This window comes from Homo sapiens, chromosome 3 (assembly GCF_000001405.40).
Source record: "Homo sapiens chromosome 3, GRCh38.p14 Primary Assembly".
NCBI lineage: Eukaryota > Metazoa > Chordata > Mammalia > Primates > Hominidae > Homo > Homo sapiens.
Window position 1 is genome coordinate 113856813 of NC_000003.12, and position 22356 is coordinate 113879168.

General features: G+C 39.0%; 1 protein-coding gene across 3 annotated transcripts in view; it reads left to right on the forward strand.

Annotated features, from left to right (window-relative positions):
- The window catches only part of GRAMD1C (GRAM domain containing 1C), a 118983-nt gene that overhangs the window by 28621 nt on the left and 68006 nt on the right, over positions 1–22356 (forward strand). For all 3 annotated transcript variants that reach the window (XM_011512930.2, NM_017577.5, XM_005247547.3), the window contains exons 3-5: positions 12695–12779; positions 18672–18775; positions 19353–19448. In XM_011512930.2, the coding sequence (XP_011511232.1) occupies positions 12695–12779; positions 18672–18775; positions 19353–19448 (285 nt within the window). The remainder of the gene's footprint in view (positions 1–12694; positions 12780–18671; positions 18776–19352; positions 19449–22356) is intronic.

Consider the following 22356-nt stretch of genomic DNA (forward strand, 5'->3'; position numbering starts at 1 on the left):
ACAGGCATGAGCCACTGCGCCCAGCTGCCTATTTTTTTTTTTTTTTTTAAAAGATCTGGCTCTGTTGCCCAGACTGGAGTGCTGTGGTACAATCTCGGCTCACTGCAACCTCCATCTCCTGTGCTCAGAGATCCTCATGCCTCAGCCTCCTGAGTGGTTAGGACTACAGGCATATGCTACTAGACTTGGCTAATTTTTGTATTTTTAGTAGAGATGGGGTGTCACCATGTTGCCCAGGCTGGTCTCGAACTCCTGAGCTCAAGTGATCCACCTGCCTTGGCATCCCAAAAAGCTAGCATTATAGGCGTGAGCCACCATGCTCAGCCCTATATGTCTTTTATTTCCTTAAAAAAAACAAACAAACAAAAAAATAAAACCCCAAAAACTCAGTTGCACTGGCTGAAACTTCCAACGCTATGTTGAATAAGAACGGTGAGAGTGGACATTCTTGCCTTTTTTCTGATCTTGCGAGGAAATCATTAAGGCTTTCATCATTAAGGTATTTTTAAAACTATAGGTATTTTGTAGATGCTCTTAATCAAATTCAGGAAGTTCTCTTGTATTCCTTTTTTTTTTTTTTTGAGACGGAGTCTTGCTCTGTCGCCCAGGCTGGGGTGCAGTGACACGATCTTGGCTCACTGCAAGCTCCACCTCCCGGGTTCACACCATTCTCCTGCCTCAGCCTCCCGAGTAGCTGGGACTACGGGCGCCCACCACCACGCCTGGCTAATTTTTTTGTATTTTTAGTAGGGACGGGGTTTCACCGTGTTAGCCAGGATGGTCTCGATCGCCTGACCTCGTGATCCTCCCACCTTGGCCTCCCAAAGTGCTGGGATTACAGGCATGAGCCACCGTGTCCAGCCTGTATTCCTGTTTTTTAAGAGTTTTTAATCACAAATGGATGTTGAATTTTGTCAAATATTATTCCTATATCAAGTGATATGATTGTGTAATTTTTAAAAGCATGTCAATATGGTGGGTTACATTGATTGATTTTTTAAAAATATTGAACCAGCCTTGGATGCTGGAATGAACTCCACTTGGTCAAGTTATATAATTCTTTTTATTTATGGCTTAATTGTATTTGCTAATATTTTGTTAAGGATTCTTATATCTATATACATGAGGGATATTGTTCTGTAATTTTCTATTTTTTGTAATCTATCTGGTTTAGTATTGGGGTAATACTAGCTTCATACAATGAATTGCGAAGTGCTCCCTCTTGTTCTGTTTTTTGGAGAGATTGTATAGAATTAATTTTTTTAATGTTTTGTAGAATTCTCCAGTAAAACTATCTGGGCCTGGAGATTTCTTCCTTGGGAAATTTTTAATTGTGAACTTAATTTCCTTAATTTGTAATGGTAGTTTATGTTTTTTGATAATCCATTTCATCTAAGTTGTCATATTTACATGTGTAGAGTTCTTTTGTTTTGTTCTTGAGACAGAGTCTCACTCTGTTGCCCAGGCTGGGGTGCAGTGGTGCGATCTCAGCTCACTGCAGCCTCCACCTCCCAGGTTCAAGTGATTCTCCTGCCTCAGCCTCCCAAGTAGCTGGGATTACAGGCATGTAATCCCAGCTACATTTTTTTTTTTTTTTTTTTGAGACAGGGTCTTAATCTGTTGCCAGGCTGGAGTGCAGTGGTTTGATCTCGGCTCACTGCAACCCCCACCTCCCAGGTTCAAGTGATTCCCCTGCCTTAGCCTCCTGAGTAGCTGAGACTACAGGCTCACTCCACCACACCTGGCTAATTTTTTTGTGTTTTAGTAGAGACAGGGTTTCACCATGTTGGCCAGGATGGTCTCCATCTCCTGACCTTGTGACCCACCCGCCTTGTCTTCCCAAAGTGCTGGGATTACAGGCGTGAGCCACTGCACCTGGCCTCCCAGCTACTTTTGTATTTTTAGTAGCTGGGATTTTGTATTTTTAGTACAGATGGGGTTTTACCATGTTGACCAGGCTGGTCTCCAACTCCTGACCTTAGGTGACCCGCCCTCCTCGGCTTCCCAAAGTGCTAAGATTACAGGTGTGAGCCACTGTGCCTGGCCTTATTACATGTGTAGAGTTCTTTACAGTATTTTGCTATATCCTTTTGAGTTCTGTAGAGTCTACAGTGCTGACCCTGTTTTATTCCTGATATTGGTAGTTTGTGTCTTCTCTCACTCTTTTTTGTCAGTCTTGCTAGAGATTTTATCAATTTTATTATTTTTAAAGAATCAGCTCTTTGTTTTATTGATATTCTCCATTATTTTTGTTTCAGTTTCACTAATTTCTGTTCTTTTTTATTTACTTTTTCTTGTTTTGGGTTTATTTTATATTTTACTCTTTCTCTTCTAAGTTCTTGAGTTGGATGCTTAGATTATTTCAGACTTCTCCTTTTTTTCTAATGTGGGCATTTAGTGCTATAAATTTCTCTCTCATCTTTAGCTGTGTCCCACAAATTTTGATATGTTACATTAAGGTTTTAATTTTCATCAGTTCCGTGTGTTATTTTATTTCCCTTGAGACTTTCCCTTTGACCCTTGACTCTAGATGGATTATCTAGAAGTGTGTTGTTTAGTTTCCAAGTGTTTGGAGATTTTGAGCTATTTTTCTATGATTGATTTCTAGTTTGATTTCATTATAGTCAGAAAATATACACTGTTTGATTTCAGTTCTCTCAAATTTGTTGAGGTATGGCTGAGTATATAGTCTATTTTGGTAATGTTCCAGGACAGTTGATGTTATTAGGTTTTAATATGCATTTGAAATACCTTAGAGAACCTAGATTAACTAGGCATGTTTCCACAAAATACATGTTACTGAATGTACTGTTACTGAAACAGACTCAAGAAGAAAGAGAAAATCTTAATAGACCTATGACAAGGAAAGAGATTGAATTAGTGAAAAAACAAAAACCAAAGAAACCCTCGATCCCCAAAAGTAAAATGACAACAACAGCAACTAACTTTTCACGAAGAAAAGCTCAGGACCAGATGACTTTACTGGTATATTCTATCAAATGTTTAAAGAAGAATGAGCACAAATCCTTCAAAAACTCTTTCAAAAAAACAGAAAAGGAGGCAGCACTTCCCAGATTATTCTGTGAGGCCAGTATTACCTTGATTCCAAAACCAAAGCTAATTGTAATTCTATACACTGGCAGTGAACATCCTTAACATGAAATTAAGAAAACAATTCCATTTATGGTGCTATCAAATGAATAAAATAGGAATAAATTTTTTTTTTTGACATGGAGGCTTGCTCTGTCACCCAGGCTGGAGTTTAGTGATGCAATCTTGACTCACTGCAACCTCTGCCTCCTGGGTTCAAGCGATTCTCCTGCCTCAGCCTCCTGAGTAGCTGGGATTACAGGCGCGTGCCACCACGCCCAGCTAATTTTCGTATTTTTAGTAGAGACAGGGTTTCACCATGTTGGTCAGACCAGTCTCAAACTCCTGACCTCATGATCCACCCGCCTTGGCCTCCCAAAGTGCTGGGATTACAGGTGTGAGCCACTGCACTCGGCCAAAATGGGTATGTAATACTTGTATACTGAAAACAATAAAACTTTATTGAAAGATATTTAAAAAGACATTAATAATTGGAAAGACATGCCATATTCATGGATTGGGAAGCTTAATGTTGTTAATGATGGCAATACTTCTCAGACTAATCTACAGATTCAACACTATCCTATCAAAATTCAAATGACTTTTTTTGTAAAAATGGTCAAGCAGTACCCAAGCTCCTATGGATATGCAAAGGACCCAGAATAGCCAAAATAATCTTGAAAAAGAATGAAGTTGGAAGATGTACACTTCCCAGTTTTGAGGATTACTACAAAGCTACAATAATCAAGATAGTGTGGATTGGCATAAAAATAGACTTATGGGCTAGGTGCAGTGGCTCACACCTGTAATCCCAGCACTTTGGGAGGCCAAGGTGGGCAGATCACCTGAGGTCAGGAGTTCAAGACCAACCTGGCTAACATGGTGAAAGCTGTCTCTATTAAAAATATAAAAAATTAGCTAGGCTTGGTGGTGGGCACCTGTAATCCCAGCTACTCGGGACGCTGAGGCAGGAGAATCGCTTGAACCCGGGAGGCAGAGGTTGCAGTGAGCCGAGATCATGCCATTGCACTACAGCCTGGGGCAACAAGAACGAAACTCCAACTTAAAAAAAAAAAAAAAGAAAACAGAAAAAAATAGACTTGTGTGTTAAGGGAGTAGAATTGAGAGTTCAGAAATAAACCCTTAAGTTTATGATAAATTGATTTTTGAGTGTCAAAACAATTTAATGAGGGAAAGATTAGTCTTTTCCACAAATGATACAACTAGATATACACATGCAAAGGAATGAATTTGGACCCTTACTTCACACCATATACACGAATCAACTTGAAATTTATCATAGACTTACATGTAAGAGCTAAAACTAAAACTCTTAGAAGAAAACATAGGTTTAAATCTTCATGAACTTTGGATTAGGCAATAGTTTCTTAGATATGACATGAAAATCTCAAGTGACAGGAGAAAAAATAGATAAATTGGACCTCATTAAAATTAGTGCCATGTTTGGTTGTGTGTGCCTGTCTTCCCACCTACTTAGGAGGCTGAGGTGGGAGTTCACTTGAGGCCAGGAGTTTGAGGCTGCACTGTGCTATGATCGTGCCTGTGAATAGCCACTGCCCTCCATCCTGGGCAACAAAGTGAGACCCCATTTCTGAAAAATAAAAAATAAAAATTTCTGTGCTTCAAGGAGTTCATTAAGAAAATGAAAAGATCACCCACAGAATGAGAAAATATCTGCAAATATTGGATAAGGGACTTGTACTAGAATGTGTAAAGAACTCTTACATAGCTCAATAATAAAAAGACAAACCAATTAAAAATGGCCAAAATGTTAATAGACATTTCTCCAGAGGTATAGAAATACCCAATAAACACATGAAAACATGTCCAACATCAATAGTTACGAGGTAAATGTAAATCAGGACTACAATGGTATTGGGGAACCTGCCCCCAGTAGTCATGTAGGTTCTTTTCTATTTTCCTTAAGTGTCAGCTGGTCTGAGAAATAAAGGGACAGAGTACAAAAGAGAGAAATTTTGAAGCTGGGTGTCCGGGGGAGACATCACATGTCAGCAGGTTCTGTGATGCCCTCGAGCCGTAAAACCAGCAAGTTTTTATTAGTGATTTTCAAAAGGGGAGGGAGTGCACAAATAGGGTGTGGGTCACAGAGATCACATGCTTCACAAGGTAATAGAATATCACAAGGCAAATGGAGGCAGGGTGAGATCACAGGACCACAGGACCAGGGCAAAATTAGAATTGCTAATGAAGTTTCAGGCACACATTGTCATTGATAACATCTTATCAGGAGACAGGGTTCAAGAGCAGACAACCAGTCTGACCAAAATTTATTAGGTGGGAATTTCCTTGTCCTAATAAGCCTAGGAGTGCCACGGGAGACTGGGGCTTATTTCATCCCTACAGCTGTGACTGTAAAAGAGAGCTGCTCCTAAAGCGGCCATTTCAGAGGCCTACCCTCAGGGACACATTCTCTTTCTCAGGGATGTTCCTTGCTGAGAAAAAGAATTCAGCGATATTTCTCCCATTTGCTTTTGAAAGAAGAGAAATATGGCTCTGTTCCGCCTGGCTCACTGACAGTCAGAGTTTAAGGTTATCTCTCTTGTTTCCTGAACATTGCTGTTATCCTGTTCTTTTTTCAAGGCGCCCAGATTTCATATTGTTCAAACACACATGCTCTACGAATAATTTGTGCAGTTAACGCAATCATCACAGGGTCCTGAGGTGACATACATCCTCCTCAGCTTACAAAGATGATGGGATTAAGAGATTAAAGTAAAGACAGGCATAGGAAATCACAAGGGTATTGACTGGGGAAGTGATAAGTATCCATGAAATCTTCACAATTTATGTTCAGAGATTGCAGTAAAGACAGGTGTAAGAAATTATAAAAGTATTAATTTGGGGAACTAATAAATGTCCATGAAATCTTCACAATTTATGTTCTTCTGCCATGGCTTCAGCCGGTCCCTCTGTTCGGGGTTCCTGACTTCCTGCAACACAATGGGAATGCCATTTTACACCCATTCAGATGGCTGTAATAAGAAAGATAGAGATTAGATTTGGTGAGGATGTGGAGAAGTTAAAACTCTCATACATTGCTGGTGGGAATGTAAAATGGTACAGGCATTTTGGAAAATAGTTTGGCACTTCCTAAAAATTTAAACAGAGTTACTATATGACCCAGCAATTCTTCTCTTAGATATATACCCCAGAGAATTTAAATATGTTCGCATAAACATTTTTACATGAATATTCATAACAGCATTATTCATAATAAGCAAAAAGTTGAAACAACTTGAACATTAATCAATTGATGAATGCATAGATAAAATGTAGTATATTTGTATAATGAAATATTATTCATCCATAAGCTAGAATGAAGTAATGATTCATGCTGCAATATAGATGAACCTTGAATACCTACATAATGCTGAGTGATAGGCTACAGACACAAAGGGCCACAAGAGTGCATATCATTGATTGCACTATTGTGGGCTTTTGTGTCTGTTCCATTAATATGAAATTTCCAGAATTAGCAAATCCATAGAGATAGAAAGTAGATTAGTGTCGTTTGGACCTGGGTGGAGGGGGAAATGGAGAGTAACTGCTAATGGGTATAGGATTTCTTTTCAGCATGATAAAAGTTTTCTGGAATTATATAGTGGTGATGATTGCACAGTTTTGTGAGTATACCAAAATCACTGACTTGTACATTGCAAAAGGATGAATTCTATAGTATGTGAATTATATCTCAATTTTTTAAAGTAAGTGCCATGTTGGTATGGAACTCGGGCCTCAGGCAGCCCTGCCTCCATGATTTTGCTAGGTGCAGCCCACATCACTTCTGTCATGAGTTGCAGTTGCACACTGGTGCCTGTAGCTTTCCCAGGCAGGTATTGCACTCTCCTCAGTGTTCTACCCTTTTGGGGTCCCACTGGTAGCCCTGACCCCACATTTCTGCTGAGCATTATTCTAGTGGAGGCTCTCTGCACCTCTGCCCCTGCAGAAGGTCCCTTTTAGCTATATTAATCTCCAAATAGTCTCTAGATCCTCTCCTGAAAATGCTCTTTCATGCTCTACCACATGGTCAGGCTGTGAATTTTCCAAATTTTTATGCTCTGCTTCCCTTTGAATTATAAATTCTGTCTTTAAATAAGTATTCTCTCTCTCATTTTACTGTAAGTGGCTAAAAGCAGCCATGCAGCATGTTGAGTGCTTTGCTGCCTAGATACTTTATTTTAATTTTGAGATGGAGTCTCACTCTGTCACCCAGGCTGGAGTGCAATGGGATGATCTTGGCTCACTGCAACCTCTGCCTCCTGGGTTCAAGTGATTCTCCCTGCCTCAGCCCCCTAAGTAGCTGGGATTACAGGCATGCACCACCACGCTCGGCTAATTTTTGTATTTTTAGTAAAGATGGGGTTTCCACATGTTGGCCAGGCTGGTCTCAAACTCCTGACCTCAGGTGATCTGCCCACCTCAGCCTCCCAAATTGCTGGGATTACAGACATGAGCCACCGCGCCGGCCTATTTTATTTTTTCTTTTCAAAGCTGCTTAGATATTTCTTCTTCCAGAAATCATAGCTTTGGTAATTAAATTCTTTGGGTAATTAATCCAGACCCAGAGAGCACTCCCAAAAGATGGCATTAATCCCTTCAGCCCTCTCAGGTTTGGCCATCCCCAAAGCCCTAGGACATGGATACAATGCCACCAAGTTCTTTGCTATTTTATATAATGACCTTTGCTCCAGTTCCCAATAAGATATTCCTCATTTCCATCAGAGACCTCTTCAGAATGGCCTTTACTGTCCACATTTCTACGGACGTTCTGTTCACAACCACTTAAGTAATCTCTAAGAAGTTTCAGACTTTCCCTAATCTTCTTGTTTTCTAAGCCATCACCAGAATTTCTCTTAATGACCCATTTATAGCAATCTAGGCTTTTTCTAGCCTGCTCCTCCAAATTCTTCCAGCCTCTAACCATCACCCAGTTCCAAAGCTGCTACCACATTTTCAGGTATTGTAATAGCAACAACCCTACTTCTTGGTCCCAATTTTCTGTCTTACCCTGTTTTCTGTTGCTATAACAGAACACCTAGACTGGGTAATTTATATAGAAAGGAGATTTATTTGGCTCATGGTTCTGGAGGATGGAAAGTTCAAGATCAGGTGGTCTCATCCGGCCAGGGTCTCATGTTGCATCATAATATGATGGATGCCATCACATGGTGGGAACACGTTTGAAAGAGACAAAGCATGAGAGGCAACCTTGGTTTATAATAACCTGCTCTTTTGGTAATTAATCCAGACCCAGAGAGCACTCCCACAAGATGGTATTAAGCCCTTCATGAGGGATCCCTCATAATCCAAACACCTCTTAAAGTTCCTACCACCTCTCAATACCATTACATTGAGGACCAAGCTGCAACATGAGTGTTGACGGGGACAAACCATATTCAAACCATAGCAACTACCAAAACTCATTAAAAAATCTGCTTGTGAGGCTATGGAGTGTGCCACAGATACTGAATCACTGAGACCGTTCAGACCATTTTTGATTAGAAGCCAACTGTTAGGATTTTTGGACTGCAAGATGGTTTATTGAGTTTTACTGTATTTACATATATAAATATGCACAAAAAAGTGTTCAAATCACTTAGAATAGGAAGATGCTATTTTTGAAAATGATTTTAGAGAACTACAAGAAAAGAAGAAATTGGGGTCTTTGAGGACAGAAACTTCAAATGTTAAATTTTAAAAAAAATTTTTATTGTTTCAAATATTGCATCTACCTCATTTTCTCCTGGGACTTTGTTTACATGTGTATTAGACCTCCTCACTGTATTATCAGTCTCTTATCCTTTCTTCTCTATTTTCCATTATTTTTGTGGCAGCATTTTGAGTCCTAGAGTGATGTGTTCTTCCAGGGAGGATTTTCATATACAGCTGTCAAGCAATCTGGAATTGTCCTTTCCATTTGTAAGGATTAAGATGATTTGAAGTTGGGCTCCAGTCCTTGTGTTGTTGATCTCTAATTTTATTCTGTGTTCATAGAGAACATAGTTTATGAGGCTTTAATCCTTTCAAATTTACTGAAACTTGTTTTGTGGCCTAGCATATGGTCTGTTCTGGAGAATGTTCCATCCGTGCTTGAAAAAAATGTGTATTTTGCAGTTGTTGGATGGAGTGTTTTATAAATGCCAGTTAGGTGTAGTTGGTGGAAAATGTTCAAGTCTCTTATATCCTTGCTGGTTTTCTGTGTAGTCATTCTATCAATTATTAAGAATGGGATATTGATACCTCCAACTTATTGAATAGTCTGTTCTTGCAGTTCTGTCATTTTTGCTTCATGCATTTTGGGGTTCTGTTGTTTATGCATTTATGATTATCTTCCTCATTTATTGACCCTTTTATTATTATGAAATCTCTCTTAGTCTAGCAGTATTTCAGCTAAAAAGTAATAGAGCCACTCAGATTCTCTTGTGATTACTGTTTGCATGGTATATCTTTTTCTCATCCTTTTACTTTCAACTTTGTTGTGTTTTTGTAACTAAGGTGTGTGTCTCTTGTAGACAAAATATAGTTGGTTCTATGTTTTATCTAGTTTGACAATTTCTGTGTTTATTCCGTTTACATTTAATGTAGTTATAATATGGTTAGATTTACAAATAACCATTTTGCTATTTATGTTCCATATGTTTTATACCTTTTGTTCTTCTGTTCCCCTTCTTTATGTGTCAAATACATATTTTTTAAGGTGACATTTTAATTCCTTTTGATTTAAAATTTTTTGAGGGTTGTTTTTAGTGATTGCTCAAGAGAGTATAGTATTCTTCAGATTCATACTAATTTAATTCTGCTAAAATATTGAACCTTTGCTTCAACTAATGTTATTATCCCATAAACCCAGCAATACAGTGTTATGATTACTGCTTTGTAGACCCTTATGTCTTTTTTTTTTTGAGATGGAGTCTCACTCTGTTGCCCAGGCTGGAGTGCAGTGGCACGATCTTGGCTCACTGCAACCTCCGCCCTCCGAGTTCAAGGGATTCTCCTGCTTCAGCCTCCCGAGTAGCTGAGATTACAGGTGCCTGCCACCCTGCCTGGCTAATTTTTTTGTATTTTTAGTAGAGATGGGGTTTCACCATCTTGGCCAGACTGGTCTTGAACTCCTGACCTCATGATCCACCCGCCTTGGCCTCCCAAAGTGCTGGGATTACAGGCGTGAGCCGTCATGCCTGGCCCACCCTTATGTCTTTTAAAGATATTAAGAGAGAAATGAGAAAATAGATTTATGTAGTCTTTTAAAAATACCCATGTATTTATATTTCTGGCGGTTTTAATTTCTTCTGGTGAATTTGAGTTATCATATGTAATTTTCTTGCAGCTTGAAGGACTTTATTTTTAATTTTAATTTTAATTTTTTTGGAGACAGAGTCTCACTGTCATCCAGGCTGGAGTGCAGTGGTGCGATCTGGGCTCCCTGCAACTTCTGCATCCAGGGTTCAAAAGATTCTCCTGCCTCAGCCCCACGAGTAGCTGGGATCACAGGCATGCACCACCACACCCGGCTAATTTTTGTATTTTAGTAGAGATGGGGTTTCACTATTTTGGCCAGGCCAGTCTTGAACTATTGACCTTAGGTGATCCACCCACCTTGGCCTTCCAAATTGCTGGAATTATAGGGATGCATGTGCCACTACGCCAGGCTCGGACTTCCTTTAGTATTTCTTGTAAAGCAGGTCTGTTCTCTCCATTGTTAATGATGAAGAGTCACCCGCAAATTATACTGTTTTTCAACTGTATGTGATGAGTCAATTTTTTTCTTGCTCGTTTCAGGATTTCTTCTTTGTTGTTCAGCAGTTTGAGTCATGTCTTAGCATGACTCTCTGTGTTTATCCTGCTTGGGATTCATTGAGTTTCTTTGATGTATACATTAATGTTTTCCATCAAATTTGGAAACTTATGACCATTATTTCTTCAAATATTTTTCTATCTTCCCCTTTTTCCTTCTGATACTCCCATCACATGTATTTTGGTTTCTCTGATGTTGTCCCGTAGGTCTCTGAGAGTCTGTTCATTTTCTTAAGTCTTTGTCCTTTCTGTCCTTCGAATTTGATAATTTTTACTAATGTATCCTTAAGTTCACGTATTCTTTCTGTCATTTTGAATTTGCTGTTGAGACCCTCTAGTGAATTTTTTATTTGATTGTAGTTTTCAACCCCAGAATGTCTGTTTCTTTACAGTTTTTTGTAAAAAATCTATTTGCTTAGGTTCTTTACTTGTTGAGTCATTGTTGTCATACTTTCCTTTAGTTCTTTAAGCATGGTTCTGTTTTTTGAACATATTTATAATAACTGATTTGATATCTTTGTCTGCAAAATTCAATGTCTGGGGACCCTCAAAGGCTATTTCTGTTTTTTGTTCTGTTTTTTTCTTTCCTTAGTATGAGTCAAATTTTCCTGTTTCTTTGCATGTCTTATAATTTTTGTTGGAATATTGACAATTTAGATAATATATTGCAGCATCTCTGGATTCTGATTGCATTCCCTCCTGTCCCATGGGTTGTCATTGCTGATTTTTGTTTGCTTGTTTAATAATTTGCCTAGAGTAAATTTATGAAATCTGTTTGTCCTGTGGCATGTGTCTGCTCTGTTTATTATGGTTGTTGTTTTTATTTTTAATGTTGGCTTCCTAGGGATCACCTCTTATGTCAGCCAATGATGTACTCAATGTACTTAAATCCATAGAGCCAGTAAGGCTTTTCCCTTCTATTGACAGATCTGTGTGTAGATTGGGGAATGTATTCAAAGCTCTGGCCATTTAAAAAAATGTGGCCATTTTTAAGTTTGTCCCAGTTTTTTATGTTCCCCTGAGACCTCTTGTGTCTTTGGCCAGGAAATGTGTGGATAGCTTGGGCTTTCTCTAGTTTGTGTTACGCACATTGGAGCTTTTGTTCAGCTAGGAATATGTGACTAGTTTATCAGGCCCATCTATGGCTTCCTCTCCTTCAAGATCTTTCTAAGCTCCTTGCTAATTTGCCATTCTGCTTGCTCCAATTGGTACTGGACCCTCACACTTGCTTGGATTGGTACAGAGTTTTCCCTTTCACTCCTGGGCATAGATTTTCTGCCTCCAATCCAAATCACAGCTCAACCCTCTCTGTCAAGATAGCTGCCAGTTTTCATGATCTGTTCCCACCCCCAAAGAACTACCACAAAGACTTAACAGGTGAAGGAAGAAGGGTAATGGGAACAGGCCCAGGAATGAGTGCCACAGACTTCCACCATCCTTACCTAAGTTCAGTGGATTTTCATGAACAAATACTTCTCAGTTGATTGTATTGTATGCCTTTGGTCATTTTCCATCGTTTGAGATGATTATTTTTGACAGTTTTTTTTCTAGTTATATATTTGCTTTTGCAGAGGGGATTGCCAAACTCCTCATCTCATCATGCTGGAAGTCTTCTTTGCTTCTTTTTGGTGTTTTTGAAATGTTTATTTATATAAGGACATACAAAATATTGCATAGAAAGCATATGATTTTAAATTCCACTTGATATTTATTTTCTAGGACACTATAATTACAATTAGACAGAAATGTAATCTTTTTATTGTTGCAGATTTCAAGTTCCACCTATAAAGACAGGAATGAGGAATACAGAAGACAGTTCACACATCTACCTGATACAGAGAGGCTGATAGCAGGTAAAATAGAAATTTTCAAAAAAAAGTTTTATTACCTCATTATAAAAAGAAAACTGATAAGTGACAGTATATGTAATAAAATTTAAGCCTTTATGCTAGACAGAATATAATTTTCAAGTTAAGCATCATCCTTATGATCCAGCAATCCCATTTCTGGGTAGATATCCAAAAGAAAGGAAATCAATATATTGAAGAGATATCTGCACATTCATGTTTATTGTAGCACTATTGACAATACCGAAGATATGGAATCAACCTAAGTAGCCATCAATGGATGAATGGATAAAGAAATTGTGGTACATAAATGCAATGAAATATTATTGAGCCATAAAAAAGAATGAAATGCTGTCATTTGCAACAGTGTGGATGGAACTGGAGGACATTATGTTAAATGAAATAAGCCAGGCACAAGAAGACAGATATCCCATGTTCTCACTCATCTGTGGGAGCTAAAAAGAAATTGATCTCATGGAGATAGAGTAGAATGATGCCAGGTGTGGTGACTCATGCCTGTTATCCCAGCACATTGGGAGACTGAGGCAGGAACATTGCTTGAGCCCAGGAGTTCCAGACCAACCTGGTCAACATAGTGAGATCCTGTCTGTATTATAAAAAAAAAAAATTAGCCAGGTGTGGTGGTATGTGCCTGCAGTCCCAGCTGCTCAAGAGGCTGAGATGAGAGAATCACTGAGCCCAGGAATTGGAGACTGCAGTGAGCTATGGTGGTGTCACTTCACTCTACCCTGGGCAACAGAGTGAGACCCTGACCCACCCCCAAACCCCCGCTCAAAAAAAAAAAGAGAGAGAGAGTAGAATGATGGTTACCAGAGGGCTAGGAAAGGTACTATGAAGGGAAGATAAAAAGGAGATGGTTAATGGGTACAAGAATACAGTTAGATAGAAGGAATAAGATATAGTGTTCAGTATCACATGGGGAGACTATAGTTAACAGTAATTTATTGTATATTTCAAAATAGCCAAAAGAGTGGAATTGGGATGTTTCTAATACAAAGATATGATAAATAGTTGAGGTGATGATATCTCAATTACTTTGATTTGATCATTACAAAATATGTGCTTATTCCAGTATATCACATTACTCCATAAACACAACCATTCAGTATCCATAATAATTAAAAATTTTAAAAAAGATAAGCAGCATCTTCATAATTAGACAATGGAAAACTCAATTGCAATTCAGGGAGGAGTGATTTTTGATTTATAAGAATTTTTTTTTTTTTTTGGCTGGGTGCAGTGGCTGATACCTGTAATCCCAGCACTTTGGGAGGCTGAGGTGGGAGGATTGCCTGAGGCCAGGAGTTCGAGACCAGCCTGGGCAACAAAGCGAGACCTTGGCTCAACAAATAAATAAATAAATAAAAGACACACACACACACACACACACACACACACACACACACACACACACACAGAGGAATATTAAGTACTAAGAAAATATAACTAAAAATAAATGATTTCTCACAATGATTTTGGTGCATCAAATTGGAGAGAAAATTTAAACTTGATGTTCAATATATATTTACCTCCAGAAAAATACACTTTCTAACAGATGTACTCATAGAGAAACTTCACAAATGTTCTAGGGCTAAATCATTATTTGTGTAATTGTTCACATGGATTTTTTTTTGAAGTAGGCTTTAAGAGGAAAAATTTAATCATTTTTCTTTTAAAAGTGCTTTATTTTTTACTATAAGCTTAATATATACTCATGACAATAAAACTACAGAGCTAAGTTTTAGTTTTAGTATATATTTAATTGAAAACATTTATTTAGGTTGGGTGTGGTGGCTCATGCCTGTAATCCCAACACTTTGGGAGGCTGAGGCGGGTGGCTTGCTTGAGCCCAGGAGTTCGAGATCATCCTGGACAACGTAGTGAGACCTCATCTCTACAGCACTTTGGGAGGCTGAGGCAGGCGGATCATGAGGTCAGGAGATCCTGGTTAACAGGGTGAAACCCTGTTTCTACAAAAAATACAAAAAATTAGCCAGGTGTGGTGGTGGATGCCTGTAGTCCCAGCTACTTGGGAGGCTGAGGCAGGAGAATGGTGTGAACCTGGGAGGCGGAGCTTGCAGTGAGCCAAGATTGTGCCACTGCACTCCAGCCTGGGCAACAGAGTGAGACTCTGTCTCAAAAAAAAAAAAAAAAAAAAAACAACCAACAATAACAGCAAAAAAAATCAGATGGACATGGTGGCATGCACCTGTAGTCCCAGCTACTTAGGAGGCTGAGGTGGGAGGATTGCTTGAGCCCAGGAGGTGGAGGTTGCAGTAAGGAGAGATCATGCCAGTGCACTCCAGCCTGGGTGACAGAACAAGACTTTGTCTCAAACAAAAACAAAAACATTTATTTATATGAATTTCTCAGATTTTTGGTACTATTAGGAAATGTTTAATTCAGTGTCTAGAACTCGATGAATTTCTAGACAGCTCAGCTCAATAAATATCATAATGAATTAAAGCAATTTTTAAAAACATTGCTTATTGGAAGTAATACAGTCCCATGATAAAATTTGCAAATGGTACATAAGGACATAAAGTGAAAAGTGAAAAGTGAGTGATCCTTACAACCAAGACCACTTCAATGTTCTTCCTGGGAGATAACCACTGTTAGTAATTTCTTAGGTATAATTTCAGAAAATTTCTATATGTATTTAGGATTATATATATAGAAAAAAACTTAAATGGGAACAGACTGTGATTATTGTTTTGAATCTTGCTTAGATCTCTTTTTTATTTGCTATTTGCACTACTATGAATCCACTTCATTCTTTTTTTTCTTTTTTTTTTTTTTTTTTTTTGAGATAGAGTCTCGCCCTGTCACCCAGACTGGAGTGCAGTGGTGTGATCTCGGCTCACTGCAACCTCCACCTCCCAGGTTCAAGTGATTCTCGTGTCTCAGCCTCCCGAGTAGCTGGGATTACAGGCACACACCACCACGTCCGGTTAATTTTTGTATTTTTAGTAGAGATGAGGTTTCTCCATGTTGGCCAGGCTGGTCTTGAACTCCTGATCTCAAGTGATCTTCCTGCCTTGGCCTCCCAGAGTGCTGGGATTACAAGCCTGAGCCACTGCACCCAGCCAAGAAGCCATTAAAAAAAAATCAATTGTATTGAAGTATAAATTTATTACAATAAAACATATCCATTTTAGGGAGTCCATTTTTAAAAACCACTGACGCTGGGCATGGTGGCTCACACCTGTAATCCCAGCACTTTGAGAGGCCGAGGCGGGCAGATCGCTTGAGGCCAGGAGTTCAAGACCAGCCTGGGCAACACAGTGAAACCCTGTGTCTACTAAAAATACAAAAAAAAAAAAAAAAAATTAGCCAGGCGTGGTGGCCAGCGCCTATAGTCCCAGCTACTCGGGAGGCTGAGGCAGGAGAATGGCGTGAACCTGGGAACCTGGGAGGCGGAGCTTGCAGTGAGCTGAGATCACGCCACTGCACTCCAGCCTGGGCGACAGAGCAAGACTCCATCTCAAAAAAAAAAAAAAAAAATTAGCCGGGTGTGGTGGCGCACGCTTTTAATCCCAGCTACTCGGTAGACTGAGACATGAGAATAGCTTGAACCCAGAAGGCAGAGGTTGCAGTGAGTTGAGATCGCACCATTGCACTCTAGCCTGGGCGACAGAGCAAGACCCTGTTTCAAAACAACAACAACAACAGCAACAACAAAAAACACTCAAAAAAGTCTGCTGATATATATCAAATAGTCTTCAGTTAAATAATCTAAGTAGTTACTATGCCTTTGAACATAGTTAATGTAAAATAATACAGTGGTTCTCAAAGTGTGGTCCACAGACTAGCAACACTGTCAGTACCTGAGAGCTTGTTAGACACACAGACGCAACCCAGAACTATTTAATCATAAACCTTGGGGCAGAGGCCTAGCACTATGTGTTTTTTATTTTATTTTTTTTTTTGGAGACAGACTCTCACTCTGTTGCCCAGGCTGGAGTGCAATGGCATGATCTCAGCTCACTGTAACCTTTGCCTCCCGCGTTCAAGGGATTCTCATGCCTCGGCCTCCCGAGTAGCTGGAATTACAGGTGCCCGCCACCATACCTGGCTAATTTTTGTATTTTTAGTAGAGATGAGGTTTCACCGTGTTGGCCAGGCTGGTCTCAAACTCCTGACCTCAGGTGATCTGCCCGCCTTGGCCTCCCAAAGTACTGGGATTGCAGGTGTGAGCCACCACACTCGGCCGCAATATGTGTTTTAGTAAGTCAGCCAGGTATTTCTGATCTGAAGTTTGAGAAGCATTGAATTGATAAAATGGTTTGGTGGTTTGGAAAAAAATTTCAGGATATTTCAAGGTGACCTTTAGCCCAATCTCTGTTTTAGTGATGAATACTAGTTAATGGGTAACCTAACCTGCTTAATTATTTACAAGAAAATTCTGTTTGGTGGCACCTCACTTTTGTTTTGCTGATGGAAGCATTGTGAAAGACTGAATTACTTTGCTCAATTTTTAGTATTTGCTTAGACATTTAACATGACTAAGTGGAAACATTTTGAGATTTATTCAACATCTACCTAAAATTGCTAATTAGTTTATAGAGTTTTAAAATTTAGCAGTTAAGCTAAATCTCCTCATAGCAGCCCTTTGTATCTTATATTACTAATAATTTAGCAGTACAGTTTACATTCTCCACAGAGCCAGATCTTAACCTTAAAGGTATGGTATTAACTTGTTTGGCAGGCAGACTTGATTTTGCTGGACTTTAGTGGTGAGGTGGAGAGAATCAACTTTTTTTTTTTTTGGAGACAGAGTCTCGCTCCCTGGAGTGGAGTGGCACGATCTTGGCTCAGTGCAACCATCACCTTCCAGGTTCAAGAGATTCTCCCACCTCAGCCTCCTGAGTAGCTGGGATTACAGGTGCCCACTACCATTGCTAATTTTTGTATTTTTAGTAGAAACAGGGTTTCCCCATGTTGGCCAGGTTGGTCTTGAACTTCAGAACTCAAGTGATCCGCTGGCCTCGGCCTCCCAAAGTGTTGAGATTACAGGCATGAGCCACTGTGCCCAGCCCAGCTGAGAGAAACAACTTTGAAACTGACTTAAAATGTATACAATTTTCTGAGTCATCTTTGACCCCTCTTTACTTTTGTCTAACATCTAATCAATCACCAATTCACCATCAGTACTACCTCCTAAATATGTCTTAATCTAACTACTCTGTCTCTTACTATGGTCACCTTCTGGTCTGAGTCACCATCAACTTTTCTCTGGACTTCCAACTGATTTATCATAATTCATTCTCACAATGTGAATAAAGTAATCTTTAAATATATACATCTGTTCCTGTTCCTTCCACTTAAAGGTCATCGGTGGCATCTCATGACAACCACAGTCTACCATGGCTTGTGAGACTTTACATGATGTAGCTTCTCCAGCTTCTCCAGCCCAAAGATCTAATAGTTCCTCAAATGTGCTGTGTTTCTTTTTACCAAAAGGCCTTTGCATGTGCTGTTCCCTTATGATCCTTCTGACCCTTTATTGATCTTTTCATGTTAAAGATCAGTTTTTTTTAGGAGAATCCTTCCTGATGCACACTCTCTGCCCTGCCCTCCTCATACCTGCCTATGCTCTCATAGCTTTCTCTACACTTGGGTCATTATCATATTTATTTTCATATTTGTTTATTTTCTGCCTTCCCTTACATTGTGTTCCATGAAGGCAAGAGCCATTTCTGCTAATCCTAGTACACAGCAAAATATCTGACATATGGTGTCCAAAGTAGATGAAGGAATGAATGAATGAACTAATGAACAAAAAGTGATGACTTTCCATCTGTTGAAATATAGTATAAGGTCTATTAATTTCTCAGATTTTCGTGAATAAGCTGTATCTTATTTTTGTGTATATAGATTATGCTTGTGCTCTTCAGAGGGACATTTTGCTTCAGGGACGACTATACCTTTCAGAAAACTGGCTATGTTTCTATAGCAACATCTTCAGATGGGAAACTACAGTAAGACATTTTGCATTTGATTTGTTGATACAAATAATTGCATAGAGATATATACAGTTCTTCCAAAAACTCTACTTTAGATGATTCCAAAGTAAATTTATATATATTTGTGCATCTAAATTAGTGTGCATGTAAATACAAACGTGTTGTATATATAAGTGTATAATATATTTTTCTGATTTAATACATTGAGCTCCAGTATAGTTAGAGAAAGATATTTTAATTGAAAAAAAGCTTGAACATATATCTTAATGGCTGCCAAAACCATGTCTTAAGTGACAGACTGTCTGATTTTTGTTTGTGTGTTAATGTGGAGCATGAACACCCACATGTCTTTTCAAACTTTATACTAATGTTAGATAGAGGAGTTGTTGGGGGAGAATACTGCAGGGCAAACTGCTTACCCTGTTTTTCTCAGAGAATACAAGCGTGTACTTATTAACTCCTTCAAGTCGAAAAACCTGAAGAATATTCAACTGTGAAGTTGAATATTCTGGATTAGATTGATGGGATACTTGGCATTTTGTATTGTGTATGTTTCTGAAAAATACATTAAAAAAATTTTTTGTGTGTTTAGATTTCTATTGCTTTAAAGAATATAACCTTCATGACCAAGGAAAAAACTGCTCGACTCATCCCAAACGCTATCCAGATAGTTACAGAAAGTGAAAAGGTGAAAACTTTCCTATCTTTGTTATATTACATAATGTGAAGAAAATCTCCCTCATACTCATCATCAATGTTGGGAAATTAGGCAGTTCTTCCTGGAGTTAGGAATATCTGATACACATATGTTTAATACTAGAATTCTGTATGCAGTTATATTAGTGGTTAACTTTAAATGACTGCTGACTTTTTTGTACTTTATAGTTTACAGATAACTTTCACTCATATTTTTCATTTCTAGGCAGGGTAACATTAGCACAATGTCCTTATTTCTAAATACTCTAATAATCCCATGAGTATTTTTCAGTCAGTAATAACTGCACAATAGCAACTAATAAAAAATGCTCCTGGTGAACAGAGATTTGGACAGCATACACATAAACACTAACCACTGTATTCTTTTTTTAAAAAATGGCAATTATCTTTAACTGACATAATTTTTATTATTCACCTACAATGTCTGCCATTTCTTAGTGGGGATATATCAAGAATATTTCTTAACCACCTGGAAAATTGGTTAGGGCCCTGTGTGAGAGACATTAGAAGTGTAGTGATGAGAAAGAAAAAGAATAAAGAAGGAGAGGAAGGAAAGAAAGAAAAAAAAAAGGAAAGAGAAAAAAAGAGGAGGGGTAGGGAGGGAGAAAAAGAGACAGGGAGAGTTTTGGGGGAGGAGGGGAGAGAGAATTAGTACCATGATATTAAATCTTTGTAATTATACTTTTTAATCTTGTGGAGATTCTTCTAAATTCACTTTAAATTTTATCTTACTCTTTTTTTAGAGACAGGGTCTTGCCATGTTGCACAGGCCAGCCTCGAGCATTTGGGTCATGCGATCCTCCAACCTTAGCTTCCCAAGTAGCTGGGACTTCTGGTGTGCACCACTGAGCCTGGCTATTTTTATTTTTAAACAGTCTTATCCCTATAGAACACTTGCAAATGCAGTACAAAGAGCTTTTGCTCCTGCACTAATTGAGAATAAATTCTCACCTTGATCCTCCATCACCTTAGATATTCTGGCATGTACTTCCAACAAAGACATTTTTCTATATAACCACAATATAATTCAACATCGAAAAATTAACACTGATCTGTTACTGCCATTCAGTTCTTAGATCCCATTCAATTTCCATAACTATCCCAATAATATCCTTTATAGCAAACAGACTCAGTTCAGGATTACACATTACATTTAGTTATCATGCTCTTTAATTTCCTGGAAGAGCTCTTTCGTCTTTTCTTGACTTTTATGTCCTTGATACTTTTAAAGTTTACAGGTCAGTTATTTTGTAGGATATCTCTCAATTTGTGTTTGTCTGATGTTCCCTTGTGATTAAATTTAGGTTGTGTAATTTTGGAAGAAATACATGGAAATGATGCTCTGCTGTCACCACTACATCCTATCAGATGGCACATGATTTTAACTTCTACCATTACTGGTCATATTTACTTTGAACGTTCGATTAAGGTGGTGTCTGCAGACTTTAGTATAATCTGTTTTCCTTTGTAGTAATAAGTATTTTGGGGAAAGGTTTTTTTTTTTTAGAGACGGAGTTTTGTTTTTATTGCCCAGGCTCAAGGCAATGGTGTGATCTTCGCTTACTGCAACCTCCGCCTCCTGGGTTCAAGCGATTCCCCTGCCTCAGCCTCCCAAGTAGCTGGGATTACAGGCATACACCACCATGCCCAGCTTATCTTTTTGTATTTTTAGTAGAGATGGGGTTTCACTATTTTGGTCAGGCTGGTCTTGAACTCCTGACCTCAGGCGATCCGCTCACCTTGGCCTCCCAAAGTGCTGGGATTACAAGTGTGAGCCACTGCGCCCAGCCTGGGGAAAGGTATTTTGAAACTATGCAGATATACCATTCTTACCATACTTTGAATTTATTCATTCCTTTACTTATGTCAGTATGAACTGGTGATTTCTTACCTTATTCAATGAATTATAAGCCATTACTATCATTATTTATTTTGATGCTCACATTGTCCCAAATTTGGTCAGTGGGAGCCCCTTCAAGCTGGCTCCAGTATCCTTTTGAGTATTCTCAGTGTGTTTGAGCATTTACCTATTTTTCTGGCCCAAGATGTTTCAGGCTTTCCCTCCCCCAGCCCTGGGATCAACCATTTCTCCAAGGAGTCCTAGTTTCTTTTAGGGGAAACTGAAAGAAGCCAGTGTGTTCATTGCTATGGAGTTGGGGGAGGGGCATCACTGTTTTCAAACCCTTTAAGGGGGTATAATAATGGTGTACATTAAATGTATATAATCACACACACATATGCATAATGCATACACATATATACACTCACTTATACATCTGTTTATCCATCTATCCATCCATCCATCTAAAACATAAATTACAGGCGTGATTTATGTAATCACGTGATTTATAAATTCACATCAGGACCTCCAAGTCCCATCTAACACCACAGAGTTTATTTTTGTTTTCTTCCTTTCCATATTTGTAACTCCCTTCCGTGGCTATGAGAAACCAGGCTCCCATTATCCTTAATATAGTTACTTATTTAACCACTGGGCCTTTGTATAACCAATCTTCATCTCCACTGCCACCCCTCTCCCACATGGATGCCTCATTGCCTGAGTTGGTTTCTGACACTTAGAATCAGGTTGCTGCCCATCACACCATGACACAGAGGCTCTCATGTAAAAATTCTCGGCCAGGCGCAGTGGCTCACACCTGTAATCCCAGCACTTTGGGAGGCTGAGGAGGGTGGATCACGCGGTCAGGAGTTCGAGACCAGCCTGGCCAAAATGGTGAAACCCCGTCTCTACTAAAAATACAAAAATTAGCTGGGCATGGTGGTGCACACCTGTAATCCCAGCTATTCAGGAGGCGGAGGCAAAAGAATCGCTTGAACCCGGGGGGTGGAGGTTGCAGTGAGTCGAGACCGCGCCACTG